This window comes from Homo sapiens, chromosome 2 (genome assembly GCF_000001405.40).
Source record: "Homo sapiens chromosome 2, GRCh38.p14 Primary Assembly".
Lineage (NCBI taxonomy): Eukaryota > Metazoa > Chordata > Mammalia > Primates > Hominidae > Homo > Homo sapiens.
Window position 1 is genome coordinate 111,879,440 of NC_000002.12, and position 14,131 is coordinate 111,893,570.

General features: G+C 44.0%; 1 protein-coding gene and 1 pseudogene across 9 annotated transcripts in view, besides 2 other annotated features; one reads left to right on the forward strand and one right to left on the reverse strand.

The window, feature by feature from the left end:
* The window catches only part of ANAPC1 (anaphase promoting complex subunit 1), a 117,963-nt gene extending 113,209 nt beyond the window's left edge, over positions 1-4,754 (reverse strand). For 7 of the 9 annotated variants that reach the window (XM_017004711.2, XM_017004710.3, NM_022662.4 and 4 more), the window contains exons 1-2: positions 4,503-4,754; positions 1,174-1,410 (exon numbers count right to left, since the gene is read on the reverse strand). In XM_017004711.2, the coding sequence (XP_016860200.1) occupies positions 1,174-1,386 (213 nt within the window). In that variant the 5' untranslated portion in view covers positions 1,387-1,410; positions 4,503-4,754. Of the gene's footprint in view, positions 1-1,053; positions 1,411-4,502 lie in introns of all 9 variants that reach the window. The other 2 variants (XM_017004713.2, XM_011511634.3) reach the window with 1 other exon arrangement.
* Positions 3,991-4,784: an enhancer, noted in NCBI's record as "H3K27ac hESC enhancer chr2:112641007-112641800 (GRCh37/hg19 assembly coordinates)". NCBI's record gives its function as "activates a minimal SCP1, AML or CMV promoter by ChIP-STARR-seq in naive and primed H9 embryonic stem cells {active_cell/tissue: H9 hESC(naive and primed)}" and the evidence as "EXISTENCE:reporter gene assay evidence [ECO:0000049][PMID:30033119]".
* Positions 5,128-5,277: an enhancer, noted in NCBI's record as "active region_16386". NCBI's record gives its function as "activates an Ori minimal core promoter by ATAC-STARR-seq in GM12878 lymphoblastoid cells {active_cell/tissue: GM12878}" and the evidence as "EXISTENCE:reporter gene assay evidence [ECO:0000049][PMID:35858748]".
* On the forward strand, positions 8,451-10,046 carry EEF1E1P1 (eukaryotic translation elongation factor 1 epsilon 1 pseudogene 1; annotated as a pseudogene).

Here is a 14,131-nt window from a genome sequence, read left to right on the forward strand (position 1 = left end):
AGAAAGAGAAGTTTCCATTTGTAACTACATAGGCTTTCCCTCCCCGAGATTTTAGTATCCCAAAGGGATATGACAATGGAATAAGGCAGGAGGGATTCATTTTCTGACACACACTTAACATCTCATTCCTCTACTTAAGAACTATTACTCGCCGGGTGTGGTGGCTCACGCCTGTAATCCCAGCACTTTGGGAAGCCGTGGCAGGTGGATCACCTGAGGTCTGGAGTTTGAGACTAGCCTGACCAACATGGAGAAATCCCGCCTCTACTAAAAAAATACAAAATTAGCTGGGCGTGGTGGCACATGCCTGTAATCTCAGCTACTCGGGAGGCTGAGGCAGGAGAATCACTTGAATCCAGGAGGCAGAGGTTGCGGTGAGCTGAGATTGTGCCATTGCACTCCAGCCTGGGCAACAAAAGTGAAACTCCGTCTCAGGAAAAAAAAAAAGCTATTACTCTACCTACTTTTGTGGCATTTCTTCTCTCCTTTAGAAACATGTAAATCTTCTGCAGCAGGGACTACTTCTAATCTCTACCATTTAATCATTAGATAACATGAAATCTGGTCCCCACATATTAAGTGAAAAGAAAAAGGTTTAAAATGGACAACAATCATACTACTGAACCTGACTCACATTATAACACCACAAGTTGGCCGGGCACAGTGGCTCACGCCTGTAAACGCAGCACTTTGGGAGGCCGAGGCGGGTGGATCACCTGAGGTCCGGAGTTCAAGATCAGCCTGACCAACATGGAGAAACCCCATCACTACTAAAAATACAAAATTAGTAGGGGTGGTGGTGCATGCCTGTAATCCCAGCTACTCGGGAGGCTGAAGCAGGAGAATCACTTGAACCCGGGAGGCAGAGGTTGCGGTGAGCCAAGATCGCACCAGTGCACTCCAGCCCGGGCAAAAAGAGCAAAACTTCATCTCAAACAAAAAAATTGAAAAATAAAAAATAAATAAAACCACAAGTTATAGAGGGTATCTAAATAAGTCGCTATGACAATGTAATAAAGTCATTATTTTCAACATTTATTGAAATTACCACACCTTAACTCTACTCTAGAAGTGGCATCACACCGATCTCTCAGTTGCATCTTAGTAGCCTTAAATTACAAGTAGATTATATCACTCTACATTTCAAAAACACAATGGGAAACTCAATGGAACCTTCTGTTTCTCGTGGATTGTAACCTCCTGAAGGGATCCCACCAAGCCAGCAGCACCATCAGAAGACCATAATTCAGAAGCTGGCTGCAGCTGGCGAAGTTGAAGGTTCAAAGCATTAGGGTGGTGCTTGCAGTGGTCTCGACCAAAAGGAACAAATTCCTGCAAATCCCTTGCTGCAATCATCGTTGTCCTTTCTTCATAGAAGTTCGACATGGGTTCCAAATATCAACATTATTTCTGTATGAATTCAAACACATTCTGGTCAGCTTCCAGACTCAAAACTAGAATAAAAATACCATAAACACACAAGTCATTAATCCTTACATGGGTGTCAAGTAATTATATCAGACTGGTAAGTATATAAGTTGGTCATAACATAAAAGGGCATTCTAGATCTGATTCAGACAGTTGCAATTATCACATTTTAGTCACAGACTGACAGTTACCACTATAGGAAACCACTGAGATGCAACAAGTACTTATGTCCCGCACCACCTATCCCGTGTTTCCCACTACTATACGCTAATTTTTCCATACTTTATATATGAAGTATTTAGACAAGTTGTATTCTATGGTCCCATAACTACATGGCTTTTCAACATTTAAGGTCATTTCTGGTTAGATGCCAGAACCTCATTTGAAAAGTACATCTAAGGGATCATTGTCATATTGGAATAAAACAATAAAAAACCACACATTACTCTAATTCATCAGAGGTTGAACTGCTTTCAGCTGACCAATCTACAAAAGACATAGGTTTTCAAATGTCTTAAGTAGCTGTGACACCCCCAATCCCACCTAAATATATAACTACAATCAATTTCAATTATTGGTCGAAACCCAAAGAACCGAGGCATGAATAACTCTAGCCATGGAACAGTTATGCTTGCAGATTTAAGGGTACTAGGTTTTAATTAATTATTACATCTAATTAATCTAATTATTAATCTATTACAGTACAGTTTATTACTAAAAAAATGTGGATGAACTGTTAAAGCCTTCATCACAAGGTTAGGTAGCAGCCAGGCTTTAGACAAAAGTACAGATAAGCATAATTAGATTGTCCTTCGATCCACTTTCCTGTACCTGTTTATATATACCATGTTCCTATAGACAGCATTTTTAATGTTAGGAGCCTAAGACTTTTGAGATGATGCAAGCTAGTCTTAAGACCCCATCAAGGAACCACATTAGCATGAGAATGTGGTTTATCTCTCTGTCCTATGACTTCATCCTTCATTCTCTGACCAATCAATACCTTAACCCACTACCCTCTCTTTAAAACCTCTGGACCGGGTGCGGTGGCTCACGCCTATAATCCCAGCACTGTGGGAGGCCAAAGCAGGCGGATCACTAGGTCAGGAGATCGAGACCATCCTGGCTAACATGGTGAAACTCCATCTCTACTAAAAATACAAAAAATTAGCTGGACTTGGTGGCGGGCACCTGTAGTCCCAGCTACTCGGGAGGCTGAGGCAGGAGAATGGCGTGAACCCAGGAGGCGGAGGTTGCAGTGAGCCGAGATCATGCCATTGTACTCCAGCCTGGGCAACAGAGCAAGACTCTGTCTCAAAAAAAAAACCAAAAGCAAAAAAAAAACCTCTAGACCTTAACTCTTTGGGGAGGCTGACTTGAAGTTTCCTCAGTCTCCTAGTTCGGTGGCCCTGCAAGTAAAACACTTTATCTGCTGCAATCCCCGTTGTTTCCGTGTATTGACTTGCTGCTCATAGGGCAAGAATCCTATATGGTTACACAAACAGCCAAAGCCTATGTAGTTCCTTTGCAGCTCCTCCAAAGCCACAAAGTTATTTTGCTGTGAATTAAATGTTATTCTTGGCCAGGCACGATGGCTCACGCCTGCAATCCCAGCACTTTGGGAGGCTGAGGCGCGAGGATCACCTGAGGTCAGGAGTTTGACACAAGCCTGGCCAACATGGTCAAACCCTGTCTCTACTAAAAATACAAAAAAAAAAAAATTACTCAGGCATGGTGTGGGCGCCTGTAATCCCAGCTACTTGGGAGGCTAAGGCAAGAGAATCGCTTCAACCTGGGAGGCAGAGGTTGCAGTGAGCCGAGATCGCGCCATTGTACTCCAGCCTGGGGGACAAGAGCAAAACTCCGTCTCAAAAAAAAAAAAAAGAAAAGTTATTCTGGATATAATTATGTCACAAAACATGACACAAGTTTTGTTCTTCCTCCTGCTAGAAATAAATGAGTACTGGGACACTTGAACTTGGAACACAAGTAAAAAGTGCCTTATAAAACTTACAAGGGGCAGGGCGTGGTGGCTCACGCCTGTAATCCCAGCACTTTGGGTGGCCGAGACGGGTGGATCACGAGGTCAGGAGTTCAAGATCAGCCTGGCCAAGATGGTGAAACCCCATCTCTACTAAAAATACAAAAATTAGCCAGACAGTGATGGCGGGCGCCTGTAATCCCAGCTACTTGGGAGGCTGAAGCAGAGAATTGCTTGAACACGGGAGCCAGAGGTTACAGTGAGCTGAGATGGCGCCACTGCACTCCAGCCTAGGAGACAGAACAAGACTCCTTCTCAAAAAAAAAAAAAAAAAGAAAACCCCACAAAAAAAAAAACCTTAAAAGAAAACAAAATTCAGCTGGTCTTCCTATATTTTATTCAACAGAATAACCAACATCAACGAACTTTTGACTTTATGAAACTTTAGTTCTGCAATTTTATAATGTTATTTTCTTATAACTTTGAGAGAAAATTACAGAATTGTTAAAGAATTATCATTTTGTACCGATTAATGCCACATATTTAATACTTTTTCAGTACCCCAAACTTTTAGAAATGTTTTTACTTGTTAGGTGCAACATAAACAGCTACACGTAAAAATACTATTAAATTTATATGCTATAAATAACAGTATCAGCAATGATTCCTACAAACACTACCCTGCCAAAAAAAAAAAAAAGAGACCCAAATGCACACTAACGGGAGCTTAAGTCTCCACAAGAGCTTCCCCAGCCTTTCTAGAGGACGGTGAAAACAGGCTGAGAGCCCGAGGCTCAGAAAAACAGCTCAGAGGGGCTGGAGGCCAGTCTGAAAGCTGAGGCTGCACATGGGATGCTACGCACAGCTCAGGAAAGAGGTTGGCAAGCAGGAGCCGGAAGGAGCACCCCAGCCCGCAGGCCAGGAGCGCCCGCAGGCCCCCTCAGCCCCGGAGCACGCTCAAGGCCCTCCCTCGGGTTCCCAGTACCCCGGGTTTCCAGACCTACGGCCACCAGGGGAGGCTCGGCCTCGGGACGGGTGCGAGAGTCACGCGGCGCGCGACAGACCACCAAGTGCTGCGGTACGGCGCCCGCACCTGTATAACTCGGGACGCGTCAGGCGCGGCGAGCCCCGGCTGCTCCCCGGAGGCGCAGGGGCCGAGGAGGCCCGAGGGCAGCGGCGGGGTCCTTCACAGTGACTCTTGGGCCGCAGCAGCTTCTCATTCCCTCTCCCTCCCCTATTCTGGAGGAAGAACGGGCAACAGCAGCGGGCTCGAGTGCTAATGGCAGGAAGGCGTGCGAGACGTTCAAATGGACGCGTCCATCTTGACTTTCCCGTCTTGCCTCGCGCCGGGGCGGGGCATCGCGGGAGGTGCGCGGCGTCCTAGCAGTCCTGGCGCCTGCGCTGTTGAGGGAAGACCGCGGCGGGTTACAACTTGGGGGCTATTTCCACCTTCCGTGCGACTGATGCGAACCCCGAAGCCGGACTCTGTCTGCTACAGTCCTGGCGTCCAAGTTCTCTTTAGCTCATGTCACTAGGGACCTGAACTGCCTTATAGATCTCAGGGTTTTTTCTTCTGGTTTCGCTTCCGCCTCCTGACCCCACGTGGAGGTAGGCACCTCAGGCTGAGGGTGGGGAGCAGGGGTTGCTGATTTTCTCTACGTGCAGTGAATGCTCTATGCCTTTTTCGGTCCATACTCTTCGAAGAGTGGATGAACTGTGTGAAGGTCCTCACAGAAACGTTGCTTGCAATTCCCAGATTCAGAGACACTTCTTAAGGCGATTCAAAGACCCAAGTTAAGAACCCCAGCGGCCACTCGCGCCTGTAATCCCAGCACTTTGGGAGGCGAGGCGACAGGATTGCTGGAGCCCAAGAGTTTGAAACCAGCCTGGGCAATATAGCGAGACCCTGTCTCCACAAAAGAAAAATTTTTTTAATTAGCCTGGAGGCGTGGTGCGCACCTGTAGTCCCAGCTGCTTGGGAGTCTGGAGGATCACTTGAGCAGGGAGTTTGAGGCCACAGTGAGCTATGATCGCGCCACTGCACTCCATCCAGCCTGGGCAACAGAGCAAGACCTTGTCTCAAAAAAAAAAAAAAAAAAAGAATGGGTTATAGGAGAAAGGTTAGAAACAAAGATTCATGAAACAGTTAAATACAAATATACCTAATTGATATTTTAAACTTTTGTTTGTGTGTGTGTGTGTGTGTGTGTGTGTGTGTGTGTGTGTTTTTCTTGAGACAGAGTCTCGCTCTTTCGCCCAGGCTGGAGTGCCGTGGCACAATCTCGGCTCACTGCAACCTCCGCCTCCCGAGTTCAAGCAATTCTCCTGCATCAGCCTTCCAAGAAGGTGGGATTACAGGCGCCCGCCACCACGTCCAGCTAACTTTTGTATTTTTAGTAGAGACAGGGTTTCACCACGATGGCCAGGCTGGTCTCGAACTCCTGACCTCGTGATCCTCCCGCCTCGGCCTCCCAAAGTGCTAGGATTACAGGCGTGAGCCACTGCGCCCGGCCAATATTTTAAACTTTTTTAAAAAAAAAAAGTTTAGCAACCCCATCAAAAAGTGGGCGAAGGACGTGAACAGACACTTCTCAAAAGAAGACATTTATGCAGCCAAAAAACACATGAAAAAATGCTCACCATCACTGGCCATCAGAGAAATGCAAATCAAAACCACAGTGAGATACCATCTCACACCAGTTAGAATGGTAATCATTAAAAAGTCAGGAAACAACAGGTGCTGGAGAGGATGTGGAGAAATAGGAACACTTTTACACTGTTGGTGGGACTGTAAACTAGTTCAACCCTTGTGGAAGTCGGTGTGGCAATTCCTCAGGGATCTAGAAATACCATTTGACCCAGCCATCCCATTACTGGGTATATACCCAAAGGACTATAAATCATGCTGCTATAAAGACACATGCACACATATGTTTATTGCGGCACTATTCACAATAGCAAAGACTTGGAACCAACCCAAATGTCCAACAATGATAGACTGGATTAAGAAAATGTGGCACATATACACCATGGAATACTATGCAGCCATAAAAAATGATGAGTTCATGTCCTTTGTAGGGACATGGATGAAATTGGAAATCATCATTCTCAGTAAACTATCGCAAGAACAAAAAACCAAACACCGCATATTCTCACTCATAGGTGGGAATTGAACAATGAGAACACATGGACCCAGGAAGGGGAACATCACACTCTGGGGACTGTTGTGGGGTGGGGGGAGGGGGGAGGGATAGCTTTAGGAGATATACCTAATGCTAAATGATGAGTTAATGGGTGCAGCACACCAGCATGGCACATGTATACATATGTAACTAACCTGCACATTGTGCACATGTACCCTAAAACTTAAAGTATAATAATAAAGTTTAGATTTACAGAAAAACTGCAGATAGTCCAAAAATTTCCCACATACCCTATACCCAGTTTCTACATCCAGTTTCCCTATTATTAGTATTTTACATTAGTATAGTACATTTGTTAAAATTAATGAAATATCAACACATTATTAGTAATTAAAATTCATACTTTATTCAGTTTTTTTTAAGAGAGTCTTGCTGTGTTGCCTAGGCTAGAGTGCATTGGCACAAACACAGCTCACTGCAGCCTTGAACTCCTGTGCTCAAGCAGTCCTCCTGCTTCAACCCCCCAAGCAGATGGGACTCCAGGTGCAAGCCACTGCATTAGTTTGTAGAATATCCCTTAACTGAAATTTGTCTGATGTTTCTTCATGATTAGCCTGGGGATATGGATTTCAGGAAGGAAGATCATAAAGTGTCATTTTCATCACATCATATCAAAGGTACTTATCAACAGTATCACTTATCGCTGCTGATGTCAACCTTGATCACCTAACTGAGATAGTGTTTGTCAGATTTCTCTACTATGATGTTACATTTCCCCACTTTCCATATTGTACTCTTTGGAAGGAAGACAATATGTGCAGCCCTCAGTTACAGAGTGAGGCCAGTTGATTTTGTTGTTGTTTTACAAACTTGCAAAAGCAAATGAAGGAGGGAAGCATCTTTTCAACAGTTAGTGTTGCAATATTTGTATATTCAGATGGAAAAAATGAATCTTGATTCATACTACACACCATATACAAAAATTAAAGTGCATCAAAGACCCAGATATGAGAGTAAAGCTGCCGGGCGCGGTGGCTCACGCCTGTAATCCCAGCACTTTGGGAGACCAAGGCAGGCGGATCACCTGAGGTCAGGAGTTCAAGACCAGCCTGGCCAACATGGTGAAACCCCATCTCTACTAAAAATACAAAAAATAAATAAATAAATAAAATAGCCAGGCGTGGTGGCAGGCGCCTGTAATCCCAGCTACTCAGGAGGCTGAGACAGGAGAATCACTTGAACCTGGGAAGCGGCGGTTGCAATGAGTCGAGATCACGCCATTGCACTCCAGCCTGGGGTACAAGAGCGAGACTTCGTCTCAAAAAAAAAAAAAAAGAGTAAAGCTATACACTTAGAAGAAAACATAGCTGTAAATCTTCATAACCTTGGATTAGGCAATGATGTCTTAAATATGGTACCTAAAGCACAAGGAACCTAGGAAAAAATTTGATAAGTTGGAGAAAAGTTTTAAATTTTGTGCTTCAAAGGTATTGTCAAGAAAGTGAAAAGACAACTCACAGAATGGGGGAAAAGATTTGCAAATAATCTGATAAGAGTCTGTTATCCAGAATATGTGAAGAAGTCTTACAACTCAACATAAAAAGACAACCCAGTCTAAAAATGGGCAGAGGATTTGAACGACATTTTGCCAAAAATATATTATACAAGTGGCCAAAAAGGACGATAAAAGATGACCAACATCATTAGTCATTAGGGAAATGTAAGCCAAAACCACTTCACACCCAGTAGGATAGCTGTAATCAAAAAGACAGACAATAACAAGTGTTTATGAAGATTTGGAGTTATTTGACCCCTTGTACATAATTGATAGGAATGTAAAATGGTGCAGCCGCTTGGTAAAACAGTTTGACAGGTTCTCAAAAAGTTAAACGTTGGTCTCTTCCAGGAGCTACCGCCAGAAGATGGCAGCAGCCGCCAAGTTGTCACTACTAGAGAAGTCCCTGGGACTGAGTAAGGGGAATAATAAATAAAGTGCTCAGGATGAGTGACAGATTCTGGTTCTTCAAACAAACAATGGTCCAAGTCTAACAGGATTGACTACTATAGCAGCTCATCTAGTCAAGCAAGCTAACAAAGGATATTTGCTAGGGAGTACTGCAGAAGAAAAAGCAATAGTTCAGCAATGGTTACAATACAGAGTCACTCCAGTAAAAATGATAGCCACACACTGGTTTTTTTTTTTAGTTTTTTTTTTTTTTGAGATGGAGTCTCACTCTGTCACCCAGGCTGGAGTGCAGTGGCGCTATCTCTGCTCACTGCAAGCTCTGCCTCCTGGGTTCATGCCATTCTCCTGCCTCAGCCTCCCGAATAGCTGGGACTACAGGCGCCCGCCAACAACGCCCGGCTAATTTTTTTGTATTTTTTTTATTAGAGACAGGGTTTCACCATGTTAGCCAGGATGGTCTCGATCTCCTGACCTTGTGATACGCCCACCTCAGCCTCCCAAAGTGCTGGGATTACAGGCGTGAGCCACCATGCCCAGCCCACACCCTGTTGAAGGATCTTATTTCATATCTTGAAGATAAAGTCTACCTTACAGGATATAACTACCTTTGCAGATATCCTATTGTACTATGGACTTCATCGCTTTATAGTTGACCTGACAGTTCAAGAAAAGAAGAAATATCTTAATGCGTCTCGCTGGTTTTGTCACATTCAGCATTATCCAGATATCAGGCAACATCTGTCTAGTGTTGTCTTCATCAAGAACAGACTATACACTAATTCCCACTAGAAGCTATCCGTGCCGTACAGAAGATGTATTAAAAATGTTTTAACTGGAAAATGTATTCTGACCACAGGACTAATATAAATTAATATACAGTCATTCATTATTTGTTGAAATCTATAGAATTTTTAAAGTGTCAACTTGTGTCTGAATGTTTTATTTGTTCTTTAGTTGAAGCTTTTTTTGTTTGTTTTTTTTTTTTGAGATGGAGTCTCACTCTGTCTCCCAGGCTGGAGTGCAGTGGCGCGATCTCAGCTCACTGCAAGCACTGCTTCCCGGGTTCACGCATTCTCCTGCCTCAGCCTCCCAAGTAGCTGGGACTACAGGTACCCACCACCACGCCTGGCTAATTTTTTGTATTTTTAGTAGAGACGGGGTTTCACCATGTTAGCCAGGATGGTCTTGATCTCCTGACCTCGTGATCTGCCCATCTCAGCCTCCCAAAGTGCTGAGATTACAGGCGTGAGCCACCACGCCCAGCCTTTAGTTGAAGTTTTGCAATGTTTTATGTAAAAATTTAACTGCTATTAAAAAAACAAGTTGAGATCAAGTTACAAAATTAACCTTGTTTTTAACAAATGACATTTATTTCAATAAAAGTTGCAAATCAGTGGTTTAATCTAAAATAAAAATAGGTGTCCTTTCAATGGTTGACATATTTGGCTATTTATTAACCTCTTTCATATTCTCAAATTTCTTTTCCCCTTTTGGGTATTTATGGAAGTTTGTTAAGAACTGTGATTAAAAGAAAAAAAAAAAAAAAGGCTGGGCACAGTGGCTCACGCCTGTAATCCCAGCACTTTGGGAGGCCAAGGTGGGTGGATCACCTGAGGTCAGGAGTTTGAGACCAGCCTGGCCAACATGGTGAAATCCCCATCTCTACTAAAAATACAAAAAAAAAAATTAGCCAGGCACAGTGGCAGGCGCCTGTAATCCCAGCTACTCAGGAGGCTGAGGCAGGAGAATTGCTTGAACCCAGGAGGCAGAGGTTGCAGTGAGCTGAGATGACGCCATTGCACTCTAGCCTGGGGGACAAGAGCGAGACTTCGTCTCAAAACAACAAAAAAAAAATTCTGTGTGTCTACACTAGATACCCCTAGATGGCACATATAGGTTTGTGACCTATCTGTCTCCAAAGTTGAGAAACAGACAGAAAGAGTTACAAACAAGATATTATAAAAGATTAATTACTATACCTTGCTTTTATGAGGAAGGGAAAAGGCTTTTTATTTTTAATTTTTACACACAAAAACAACCACAAGCTTAGGTTTTACAACTTCAGCCACAGGTCCAAAGGAAATTCAGAACTCAAAAACTCACCAATCTAGCAGCAGCTCCATCATGCACACACATTTTTTTTTAATTTTTTCCCCTTCCTCCCTTCCTTCCTGCCTTCCTTTTCTCCTTTCTTTCTTTCTTTGACATAATTGTGCTCCTAGTGGCAAGCAAACAAGAGAAATACCATAAAGAATGCCAGGAGCTTGCAGTGAGCCAAGATCGCACCACTGCACTCCAGCCTGGGTGACAGAGGAGACTCCGTCTCAAAAAAAAAAAAAAAAAAGTCATTATTGAGCTCAGTGCGTTGGCTCATGCCTGTAATCCCAGCATTTTGGGAGACCGAGGTGGCAGATCACCAGAGATTAGGAGTTCGAGACCAGCCTAGCCAACATGGTGAAACCCCGTCTCTACTAAAAATACAAAAATTTAGCCGGACATAGTGGCTCGTGCCTGTAGTCCCAGCTACTCGGGAGACTGAGACAGAAGTATCGCTTGAACCCACATGGCAGAGGTTGCAGTGAGCTGAGATCTTGCCACTGCACTCCAGCCTGGGCAGAGCAAGACTCTGTCTCAAAAAAAAAAAAATTATTATCAGTTGATTTCCTGTTGTCTGCCACCTGACAGATCACCAAATCACCAGCCATTCCCAGGAAATGACAAGAGCCAGACCTCTAATTTCAGTGTGTTGTACAGCAAATGGAATCTCTTATATGTAACATCTCCATTTCTCCAACAAACTATAAGAAGAAGAAACTTATTTCCAAGATGGTTTTGGCAGGTAGAATGGAATCCTTTTGTATGCGCCATCTCAACTCCTCTAAAACTACAAAGACAAAGCACTTAGACTACTGTATTTTGCTCAAGAAACTAAATGGAGTTGCTTACAGGCATTATGTGGTTTCCCAATAAATTATAAGTGCAGTTTCCCAATAAACTACAAAACCTAGACCTCTGTGCTTCTGGTATGTTCTTCAGCATGCTGAATGGAGTCTTCTACATCTGCCATCTCTTGGGAACAGGCCCCAAAATCTGGCCATAAACTGGCCCCAAAACTAGCCACAAACAAAATCCCTGCAGCATGGTGACATGCTCGTGATGGCCTTGACGCCCACGCTGGAAGGTTGTAGGTTTACCGGAATGAGGGCAAGGAACACACCTGACCCACCCAGGGCAGAAAACTACTTACTTAAACCACAAACAATAGCGTGAGCTATCTGTGCCTTAAGGACATGTTCATGCTGCAGATAAGTAGCCAGAGCCCATCCCTTTATTTCGAGGTATCCCTTTGTTTCCCGTAAGGAATACTTTTAGTTAATTTATAATCTATAGAAACAATGCTTATCACTGGCTTGCTGTCAATAAATATGTGGGTCAAACTCTGTTTGGGGCTCTCGGCTCCAAAGGCTGTGAGGCCCCTGATTTCCCACTCCACACCCTATATTTCTGTGTGTGTGTCTTTAATTCCTCTAGCCCCACTGGGTTGTGGTCTCCACGACCGAGCTGGTCTCAGCAGCCATCTCTCTCTCTTTTTGTTTTTTTTTTTAAAAACAGAGTCTCGCTTTATTACCCAGGCTGGAGTACAGTGGCACAATCTTGGCTCACTGCAACCTCGACCTCCTGGGCTCAAGCGATCCTCCCATCTCAGCCTCCTGAGTAGCTGGGACCACAGGTATGCACCACCATGCCTGGCTAATTTTTGTATTTTTTGTAGAGACGGAGTTTCACCATGTTGCCTGGGCTGGTCTCGAACTCCTGGGCTCAAGCATCTGCCTGCCTCAGCCTCCCATAGTGCTGGGATTACAGGCATGAGCCACTGTGCCCGGCCTACATCCACCGTCTCACTTTCCCTCAATCTTCAAGTGCTAGACTTTGTATTCCCAGTATGGCTTTATGCTGACTTGAGACCCCTCTAAGCATCATTTCAGTGCCCCAGTGAACCCTAATGTTTAAACATTTGCACATCATAGATATTGTTCAGCATAGTGAAAGGAGTTTTGTACCTATACTATCTCAAGTTTCCAAAAGCTATAAGGGCTAGACACTGATCCTTCCACTTTATTGTTCACCTCTCGAAATGCAGCCTCTACATGCTCTAATAATTGTACTTCCCATATGCAGTTGACTGTGGTGATTTGAGCCTTTTAAACACACAACCTGACTTTGCCTCCCCAACCTCCCCCCAACAAATTACATAAGCTGGATACTAGTATTTCCAGTCTGTTGTTCAGCACATGGAATGAAATGTCCTAGGTTCTCCATCATTACACCCCAACAATTTCAAAAACTGGGCTCTTGGCCTCCTAGTATGTGGCTGAGCATGTTAAAGGAAGTATCATGACAGAACTCTCAATTCCATAACAGACACAAGTGCCAGACAAGGCAACTTCCACTGTACTTCTCAGCACAGTGAAAAAATACACTATCTCATTTTTTTTTTTTTTTTTGAGATAGAGTCTCGCTCTGTGGTCCAGGATGGAGTGCAGTGGTGTGATCTCAGCCCACTGCAACCTCACCTCCCAGGTTCAAGTGATTCTCCTGCCTCAGCCTCCCGAGTAGCTAGGACTACAGGCATGCACCACCATGCCCAGCTAATTTTTTTTATTTTTTTTAATAGATACAGGGTTTCACCATGTTAGCCAGGCTGGTCTCTAACTCCTGACCTCAGGTGATCTGCCCTCCTTGGCCTCCCAAAGTTCTGGGATTACAGGCATTAGCCACCATGCCTAGCCCACTAGCTCATTTTTCTTTTTTTTTTTTGAGATGGAGTCTCGCTCTGTCACCCCAGCCGGAGTGCAGTGGTGCCATCTTGGTTCACTGAAACCTTCGCTTCCCAGGTTCAAGCAATTCTCCTGTCTCAGCCTCTTGAATAGCTGGGACTACAGGCATGTGCCACCACGCCTGGCTAATTTTTTTGGTATTTTTAGTGGAGATGGGGTTTCGCCACGTTAGCCAGGATGGTCTCCATCTCCTGATCTCATGGTCTGCCCGCCTTGGCCTCCCAAACTGCTGGGATTACAGGCGTGAGCCACCGCACCTGGCCCTAGCTCATTTTTCTAACAAACTGTAACACTTAGATATGCTTCTCATGCCTCTTCCAGGATGCTAAATAGGTTGTCACTTACCCACCAACTATAAAAGCTCAACAATTGGCCTTCTGTACCTTGTTCAACACAATGAGGAGCATCTTTAAATGGTGCTGCCCCATTTCCAATGGGATGAGAGTGAGATTTTACTTTTAATGAGTTTTTCAGCCTATTGGATGGATTATCTTGAAAGACACTCCAAGAAACCACTAAAGGAAATACTTTATTCCAGTATCGTGTTCACTGTGCTGAATGGAGTGTTTTACTTGTACTATTTCACTTTACAACAACTATAAAAGCTATTGTACTGTGAGGGTTAATTCCAGCAGGCCTGAAATTAGCTTGAACTGTTTTGAAGTTCCTGCGTGGCAATGACCCCTGGCCAAGAGCATGAAGCATATTGATTAATAATGTTGCTTTTTAACCATCAGTCTGAGGAGCTTCAGGGAAACTTGTACTACCATCAACT